This window comes from Homo sapiens, chromosome 13 (genome assembly GCF_000001405.40).
Source record: "Homo sapiens chromosome 13, GRCh38.p14 Primary Assembly".
Classification (NCBI taxonomy): domain Eukaryota; kingdom Metazoa; phylum Chordata; class Mammalia; order Primates; family Hominidae; genus Homo; species Homo sapiens.
This window is the reverse complement of record NC_000013.11, coordinates 37,102,825-37,112,978: the sequence shown is the minus strand read 5'-3', so window position 1 is coordinate 37,112,978 and position 10,154 is coordinate 37,102,825. Positions and strand designations below refer to the sequence as shown.

The window sequence follows — 10,154 nt, the reverse complement described above, 5'->3', positions numbered from 1 at the left end:
CTCCACAAGTCACTGAAAACCATGACATGATTATTAGAAATCCAGGAAAGAACAATACTGATGCTTATAAAAGAGAAAATGTAATGAATAAAAGACCAAGCCAGATTATTAAGGCAGTGAAACTACTGTTTATGGTATTTTAATGGTAAGTACACATCACTGTACATTTGTCCAAACTCACAGAATGTATGACAAACACCAAGAGTGAACCCTAATGTAAACCATGGACTTTGAGTGATAATGAGGTATGAATGGTTCATCAATTGTAATAAACGTACCACTCTGGTGCCAAATGTTGATGGTGAGGGTGGCTATGCATGGCTGGCAGGGGGTAGGGAGGATATGGGAACTCTGTATTGTCTGCTTAATTTTGCTGTGAACCTAAAACTTCTCAGAAAAAAAAAAAAAAGTCTTTAAAAGAAGATGACTAGCCCGGGGTCACATGACAGAGGCTGGGAGACCCGTAGAGGTCCATAGGCAGCATCTTAAAGAAACAGAGGATGAGTAAACCAAATTCCACAGCTCTACCCTGCTACGTTCCAGTCATTTGCTCCATTATGCCAAATAGCCACAGAATATTTACAACCCTCTCCTCCTTGTACTCTTCATGTTGTTTGCACAGAGTTGTCTACTTTTAAAAACGTATTGTATCTATTTTATTCAATTTACTTATTTTTTAATTAATTTATTTTTGTAGAGATAGGGTCTCACTCTATTGCCCAGACTGGAGTGCACTGGTGCCATCATAGCTTACTGCAGTCTCAAACTCAAGCTCAAGTGATCCTCCTGCCTCAGCCTCTCAAAGTGTTAGGATTACAGGCATGAGCCACAGGGTCTGGCCTTAGTGTGCCTATTTTAAAAGGAAATACTCACAAAGTAATGAGTTAGTAAAATCCATTATTGAACATTTTAGTTGCAAAATTAACAGTTACTGATGCTCACTGTACAAAAAATTGGTCTATAATATTTCCTTTTTGCAGCAAAGTTTAGCATAGATAGCAGTAATTTTAGCACTTATAAAAAGTATTCAAAGCTGTGTGAAGGGTACATGAAGGATCATTACATTATTATCTACTTCTGTACCTGTTTGAAATTCTCTTTGATATGAAGGTTTTCTTTTAAAAAAACTGAAATATAAAACCTGCTTAATGTACCAATAACTCTACATAAGGTAATTTAATTGCTATCAGATTATGTTATTATAGTCATAGAAAAATATTCTGTATTCTATAGCACCATCATCTGAAAACATAGCATAGTATTTAAGGATCTGAGTTCAGGAATCAGACTGCCAAGGTGCATTCCACATACTTCACTTCTTAGCTGTTATAACCTTGGAAAAGTTATTTTGCTTAAGCTCCAATTTCCGCACCCAGAAAGGGAATAACATCACCATAAAGCCAGTATGAGAATTAAATGACATAAAATGTGTGTAAAGTCACAGCACAATGTCTGCCTTATAATAGGTGTTCAATAAATGTAAGCTACTATTAATATTGCAAGGTTCTCATAGATATTATTCCTCTAAAATTAAAAAAAGTAGTAAAGCCAATAAAGAGCTCTAATCTATAGATGGGGAATGAGCTCAGAGAGTCACAATTCAGAAATTAAAAAACATTTCCCCATTCTAGTGTATTCCTAAATTATTCCTAATTATTATGAAGGAATATATGTATTCCTTCATATTAGAATATATTCCAATAAATTAGAATATATTCCAATAAATTAGAATTTAAAATTTATGAAGAATTTACAAAAATAAAAGAAACTGTAAAATCCTTGCATAGTCTTTTAATACCAGTTAAATAATCCAAAGAAAGTTTTGCCATTGACTCACTCAATCAGTTGTCAAGTTGACTTTGGCTATTACTTCTCACCAGGCCTTCTGGTGGCACCTCCTCTGTGGCCTGTCTCACACTTAGCCAAAGATATGTGGCTTATTTGGATTCTCTCATAGTCTCCCCTGCATAGATACATGGAGAACTTAGCAAGGCCCTCCAAGGCTATCATTTCTCAGATCTCCCTGTTAACTTCCAGGCTTGTCTACGAGTCCATTGTTTGCCGCAACCAAGACTGTAACTTCAGACTACCTGAACAGCTAGTCTTTTCCTTTCATTTGCCACAAAGATCACTATTTCTACTGACAACACCACTGGGTGTGAAGTTTTTCCACACTGTGCGCCAAACCGAATGATCCCCCTTTGGCAGGGAAGCTGCTGGTTTTCATATTCAGCAGTGCTCTCATAAACTTCTCAACAGATCCACCTTGGGAATGGGGTACAGAAGACATGGATAGGAGAAGCCCCAGATAAGAATACCATAGACTCCCACTGCTCCTACTAACTTACATTCAGCATTTTTTTGTGAATAATTGCTTCTCAATTTGTTGTATGCCTTTGGTGAATTTCAAGAGCCCTGAAATGGTTGTTTTTCACAATATTGTCCAGTTTTGTTATTGTATAATATTTTATTAGAAAAAAATTAAAACATGCAATGTTTTACCACAAAGGTAAATAGTAAGACATGTTCTAAATTGTCTAACTGGTAGCCATTATTATTAGTATTTTGTTTTATAGACAACAATTATATGCAAAATAAAATGTTCATCCAATCTCAATGCAATATTGGCCCTTGTCTAGACACTGTTTTTATGAGGAGTTACATTATCTAATATTTAAATTATTCAAGTTCCTTAAAATGTAAGGATTCCAAAAGCTGGTACTAAACAATAATTCATTATTTAGAAACTCCTTTATCTCAAAAATATGTCTTTTCTGACAGATCATTAGGACTACTGTTTTTAAAAAAACAGGATGCTAGACATGTACTGTTAGAGTGTATGATGATTGGATAAAATTAAATATCTCTGTGAACATAATTATAAGGAACCAGGTTGAGACTTGAAAAATAAATATATTTGACTGCAGAACCCAGAGTTATAAAAAATATTTGTACTCTGCTGGAGATGCTCTCTCTTAGACAAAATTGTCAAAAAGGAACTTCACTGGGATTAAGTGCAAGCCTGTGTATGCACATTCAGGATGCACTAAACTGTAGTTCAGCCAATCCTTTTATTTTCCAATCCATTGTTCACCCTAATCACAGTCAAACTAATCACAAGATGAATCCATAAAATAATTAAAACAACCTAAATTAATGAATCATTTATACTTAGTCTCATTCATTTTGAACATCTGACATAATTACAACTTACAGCTTTTTCTTTGTATTAGAGTAGATAGCTGTTAGAACTTAAGCAAAATTCACTGAAAGGAACTGGAAGATGCAATAAGTGTGATGTCATGAACTGTTTTCATGTAATTTTTCTGATCTTTGAATAAAGTAACATAATTAATGAATGTGTTCACATAATGATCTGCCAACAATTTGAATGGTCTTAATAAGGTGACAACCTGCAAGAAAAAGTAAAAGAGGTTACACAACTCCTCACTGCTCTGGAAGGAAGTCCAGAAAGGTGCCAGAATTGCAATAACTTCATGGGAACCAAACAAAATAAGTAATGATTTTTAAGGCTGAAATTGAACCCTACATTCTCAATATAGTAAAATTGGTATTTAAGTGTTTTCTTTTTTTCAGATAAACATATTGCAAGTTTCAAAATGAGTGAACAGAAAGATGCAGAGCCATGGAGAAAATATTCTTTCATGAAGAAAGAAAAATCCAGCACATTACAATGACGCCCTCTGCTGTGATTTTTGATACTACACCAAATAACCTCATTTCCAATAGTGTCTCACTGTCTTTGCAGTGCCAATACTTCCAAAAAGCTTTGAGGAAAAAATGACTTAAATCCTTCTATAAAGTTAGTCATCTCCAGGATCTTTTAAAATTGAAGTGATTGATTCTGGGTAATGTTATTCTGAACATAGTGTTTGAGCCACATAAATGTCAGTAAATCCCTTAGTGACAGCATTATTTATTTAAGAACATATTTTGATTTATTTTGTATTCTATTTAAATAGTTCCAAAAGGAGATTATATTCATGCCAAATGGTTTCTGTAATGACAACTGCCGACCCAATTTGATAGCCAAAAATTTTTTTTTTTAACTAAGAAATTTTTGTGTCTCAAATGACCATTCTACTAAAGTGTCTCCATTTCCTGGGAAAAGATACCAAGAAGCCCAGAAAATTAACCCCAAAATTCATATGAGACTAAAACCAATGCCATTTGAGTATCATTTCTTAATTGCCAAAAGCAGACACGGACTTACAGGGAAGTGAATAAAGCCTCCTTTGCAAGGTCCCTTCTAAGTGTTAGGAGTGGACAGGAGTTGTGAAGTATTTCAGGTGGGGAGGAGAAGTCAGATTGCAATGTGGAAGCATTTCTATGTAAGAATTTCTGGTCAATTGCATCAAGATAGCTTAGGGGATAAAAAAAAAGACTTGACCCTCTAACACTCAGGTAAATTGCAATGATTTCTTTTCCTAAGTTAAATATTTCATGCCTGTTTGTTGTTGTTCTTGTTGTTGTTGTTGTTGTTGTTTTCTTAAAGAGGGCCACAAAAAAAATTGTATAAAGTTCAGGACTGACAAAACCCGAATTGGCTGTTAAACAGTACAATACTACCCAGTACAATCCTGCCCAGAATACGTTATTTTACTTTTACTGGGGTCATCTTATATTAATAGAAATTATTTTAGAGGCAATTTTGAAATCAAGGCTAAATCATAGCTTTAAAATGCATTGGTAAAATACTTTATACAATTAAAGAAAAGAAACAGAACTAATATATTCCCAACAGTGAAGCCACCCAGCGTTCAGGAGCCTCTGGCTGTTGATGTCTATGTAGGGGTTAAAAGTACTGGCTTTGGAGGCAGGCTATCCTGGATTTCCATTCTGAATCCATCATTACCTACCTATGCCACCTTTGGTGAGTCACTCATGCCTGCAAATAGGAGGCATTCAATAACTATTTGTTGAATGAATGAATAAATAAAGAATGCATCAACCCCACACACTGTCCACAAAACTTTATGAAATACAGTAGTTCAATTTACTTCCATTTTAAAAACTATTTGTTGCACATCTTTTATGGAAAAATTTTGGACAAAAGGGTAGGAGGGGATGCAAGAGTTTAAGCAAAGTGTTGTTTGGGTTTAAAAAGAGTATTTATATTTGGTTGAGGAGATTGGAAAAGGTTTCATGGAGCAAACAGCATTTAAGGAAGAGCCCTGAGATTATTAGGATTAGACCTGGGCGATGGGAAAGATAAAGCAGGCTGGAAGCATTTCAGGCTGAGGAAACAACACCATAAGCCAAGACCCAAAGATGAAAAAATGCAGGGAGTATGTGTTCGGGGAAAAATCCGCAGTCCCACCGGCTTGTGGTAAGAGAATTCATGGGAGACTGGATTGGAAGCTATTCAGGGTCATATCATCACTTCAGTTACTGATCCTCCCCATTCTGGAGATGCTCACAACTTCCCTGTAAGTGAAGGTTCACCCAACCACCATTATAAGTTACACTTGACCTTCTTTATAGACAGTGCCTTTATTTAACTGGTACAAAAAAGTATGGGACTTAGTAAACAATAAATAAACTATAATTAAACTATTCTAGTTCCAGAATTGAAAGGGGATTTTTTGATTCAAGCTTTTGTCCATGTATGGGTTATCTGTAACTTTTTTGAATAGTGACTTCTCTCACATAGAGATTATTTGAATTTCAAGGTTCGTGTTGAAGCCATTGACTGGAAGACTGAACGGGAAGGAAGCATAATGGGCAGTGGGTTAACAACATAAATTTTATTCTTGGTTATTAGAAAGGAAATTGTTCTCCAGGCAAATTTCAACAAAGTTGGATGAGTAAATGAAAGAAATGCCATTCTAGTTGGTACGGTATAAAAAGTAACTACCTTGGGTCAGAATTCAGTTTCAAATTGGCCTCTGACACTTGTCTGTAGTGTGGTCTTGGGCAATTCATCTAACCTCTCTATGCCTTGATTTCCACTTGTATAAAATGAGAAGTACAATCATAATAATAAAATATGCCAGCAGTATACTGTATTACTATCCACCTGAGGTAGGAGTATGTATTTTCACCCCACTGTCTTTGGACCTGGCCATGTGATGTGTTTTGCCCAGTGGAATGTAACATTTGCCACTCCTTTTATTATGAGAACAGCATGCTCCTAAGGAGGCTGCTCTTTCAGCCTGCATTCTAGAACAAAGAGGACACAGGAAGCAGAGATGCAGCTGATCTACAGCTTACATAAAACCTGAATGATAAATAAACTTTGTCATTGTAAGCCACTGAGATTTGCGAGTTGTTCCTGCTGCAAAGCCAAGTAATATACTGCGCTACCCACCTCACATATTTGTCTGAAGTGGACTTTAAAAATGTTTTAAAGCACTTTATAATGTTCTATGCCCGTCTATGTCTCAAACCAGCTCCTTCTCTCGCCATAGATTGATGCAGGTCAGAAAAGTTAACAGCACTAACTTATGTGAGACAGTAAAGTGAGAATACCTGCTTTCAAAGCTGCACCTCTCTCTCCTGCCTTTCTGCCATTGGCCCCCAAATTCGTTGCTACTGCCCCGTTAGGATTATACTCAGTTCCTATCCCATCTCCTCATAAAACAAAATAATCGCACGGGTTTTGTTATTTGTGATGTGAACTTTCATAAAAATATTGAAATGGTACCGCTTTTTCTGCTAGTGCTGGCCCCAGTTCTTCTGAGAAAATGCTCAGAACTGCCGGCTTCTGTTTCTTCTCCATATTTTGGTTAAATTTTACTTGAATCCTTCATTTAGTCAGTTTTGCCAGAACGTCTCTGTGGAATCCTATTTAAATTCAAAGCACTCTATGAAAAAATTTCAAAAGGATCGCTTTAAAAAAAAAAAAAAAGACATTTCAATTTAACTAGCAGTAAGTAACTCTTGTTGACTAAACTCATTAAAGAAGCAACCACTGAGATCACACAGAAAAACCTCAAGAGGTGGCACCCCGACTCGCATTAACCCAGGGAGACATGATGGCTAAGGAAGTAGATGGGACAATGACTGGGCCCGAAAACAAGAAAATCTTTGTTATAAAAGCCTCCCATTTCTGCACGATTAAGTTGAAAGAAGGTGAGCTTCGAGTTAAGCCTAGGCAGTTTTGAATTCCAGCTCGCCCACAATCTCTTGCAACCTTAGGCCGCTTACCTGAGACTCAGCCTTTCTTACCCAACAAATCAGGGAAAATAATAGCTACCTTACAAGACTAGCAAGTTTGTCTTAAATGGAGTGAGATGAGTGGAACACCTAACAGAGGTCTCAGACAATAACAGCTTCTCCAAAAATTCTCGATTTGTGGTTGGCTGAGGTGGAGGAACAAAATGGCGGCGCCGGCGGCGTGACCGGGCCCTCTGGCCCACAGCCGTTGGTAGCGGTGGCAGCAGTACTGCTGCCCCAACTCGCTGTGCCCCCTTTCTCAGCCCACGACATCGCCACGACAGCGAGGCAGCGACCGCCACCGAGAAAGAGGTGGTGGCCCAGCCTGGAACCTTGAGAAACCCTCGCAAACTGTGGCCTGGCGGAAATCCTGGTGTGCTGCAGGGATCAGGCTGACTCCACGCCCTGTAACACCGGGAAACGCCTCGGTGGCCATTTCCAGCAGCCCTCATCCTCAGCCTTGCGGGCCGGTGGGCCCCGGAGGCCTCCATCCTCCCCTAGAGGGGTCAGGGCTGAGCCCAGCCTCCATCTTTGCCTCTCAGGATGACAAACAACAGCGGCTCCAAAGCCGAACTCGTTGTGGGAGGGAAATACAAACTGGTGCGGAAGATCGGGTCTGGCTCCTTTGGAGACGTTTATCTGGGCATCACCACCACCAACGGCGAGGACGTAGCAGTGAAGCTGGAATCTCAGAAGGTCAAGCACCCCCAGTTGCTGTATGAGAGCAAACTCTACACGATTCTTCAAGGTGGGGTTGGCATCCCCCACATGCACTGGTATGGTCAGGAAAAAGACAACAATGTGCTAGTCATGGACCTTCTGGGACCCAGCCTCGAAGACCTCTTTAATTTCTGTTCAAGAAGGTTCACCATGAAAACTGTACTTATGTTAGCCGACCAGATGATCAGCAGAATTGAATACGTGCATACAAAGAATTTTCTACACCGAGACATTAAACCAGATAACTTCCTGATGGGTACTGGGCGTCACTGTAATAAGTTGTTCCTTATTGATTTTGGTTTGGCCAAAAAGTACAGAGACAACAGGACCAGGCAACACATACCGTACAGAGAAGATAAACACCTCATTGGCACTGTCCGATATGCCAGCATCAATGCACATCTTGGTATTGAGCAGAGCCGCCGAGATGACATGGAATCCTTAGGCTACGTTTTCATGTATTTTAATAGAACCAGCCTGCCGTGGCAAGGACTAAGGGCTATGACAAAAAAACAAAAATATGAAAAGATTAGTGAGAAGAAGATGTCCACCCCTGTTGAAGTTTTATGTAAGGGGTTTCCTGCAGAATTCGCCATGTACTTGAACTACTGTCGTGGGCTGCGCTTTGAGGAAGTCCCAGATTACATGTATCTGAGGCAGCTATTCCGCATTCTTTTCAGGACCCTGAACCACCAATATGACTACACATTTGATTGGACGATGTTAAAGCAGAAAGCAGCACAGCAGGCAGCCTCTTCCAGTGGGCAGGGTCAGCAGGCCCAAACCCAGACAGGCAAGCAAACTGAAAAAAACAAGAATAATGTGAAAGATAACTAAGCGTGAATGAGGAACAGAAGAAGCAGAGCAGATGATTCGAGCAGCATTTGTTTCTCCCCACATCTAGAAATTGTAGTTCATATGTACACCAGCTAGTGGCTGTGAACAACCATTTAGTTGGTGTAAAAAACTTTATTTCAATATAAACTGACTCTGGGGAGCGTTGGTGATGCTGTATCCCAAAGTGTAGCCTCTGTAATTGTGAATATTAACTGAGGTAGTGAAACGTGGTGTCTGGTTTTCTATTGCATTTATTCAAGTAGAAAAGTTAACTAAATGGTTGACACACACGAATTGGTGGAGACATTGTCCATATGCCAATTTTTTGTTAAAACCTTTTATTTTGAACTAGACTGCTTTGAGATATCATTTCAGAAGGACAGTATTCAGCCACAGCTGCAAAGGTTGTAAATGCTTATGATTGAGCATTTTTAGGGTTTCTCCATCCCTGGGGTTTGCAAATTGTTCACATAAAGAGCATTCTTAAAATGGTTGGCTTCTTGTCTGTAAGCCAGCTGATCTAGTAGTAACCAAAAATTCCAGTTTTGAGAATAGGAAAGATTCCGCCTGCTTACCTGTGAAGACATAAGAAAATCTTAGTAACTACCAGATTATCTTTAGAATTCCACATTAACTATATCATGTTCTCGGTATTTTAAAAACAACAACAACCATATTTGTCACAGAAATTTAGTTAACATCTTACAACTGAACATGTATGTACATGGCTTAGATAAATGTAATCACCGTAAACACCCATATGATCTGGGATTTTGTTCATATTTTGAAATGGGAGCTTTTATGTTTTACAAGTTCACTAAAATCTGAAAACTGTTTCTATAAGGAAATAATACTTTTTTAAACAACAACCAAAAAATGCCTTGCTGATTCACTAGGAAATAAAAATCTCCCCAATTTTTTGATAGTCAACTTCGAGCCATTTGTTACATGATATTCCCTTGCAAGTAAATTTTATTTCATTATATAACTTTTTTCAATGTTTTTATTCTAAAATAATCGTTTTGTATGAAGGGGAAATGTATTCTTTCATTTTTCTTTTTCTAATGACTTGTGGTAAAATATCTAGTACTGCACCTGCCAAAACTTGGTATTGTTACTTCTTCCACTGACTAATAGCTGGGCTGATTTCAAATAAGAATGCAAGCATTGAAGGGTTTGACTACAAAACATTGTTGTTTAAAATACTTGTGAAATGGCTATAAGCAGTTGACTTTTACCCTTGGAGAGCACACTGTGAGGTTCTGTGATCATTGACCCTCCCTAACCCCCGTCTGCTTCTCTGAATTATCTGTGTGTGCGTGCTCTTCCTCTCAATCTTTTTGCACGTTCTTTTCTTTTTCTCTGATGCAAGATAAAGGAAAACTCATTTTCCTTTTAATTCTTTAAATCGTGTAATT

General features: G+C 38.1%; 1 protein-coding gene across 1 annotated transcript; it reads left to right on the top strand.

The window, feature by feature from the left end:
- Positions 1 to 7,314: 7,314 nt before the first annotated feature.
- On the top strand, positions 7,315 to 9,720 carry CSNK1A1L (casein kinase 1 alpha 1 like). The gene has a single exon (NM_145203.6). It carries the CDS (start codon positions 7,723 to 7,725, stop codon positions 8,734 to 8,736), a length of 1,014 nt encoding a protein of 337 aa, NP_660204.2. The 5' UTR covers positions 7,315 to 7,722; the 3' UTR covers positions 8,737 to 9,720.
- The last annotated feature ends 434 nt before the right edge of the window (positions 9,721 to 10,154 follow it).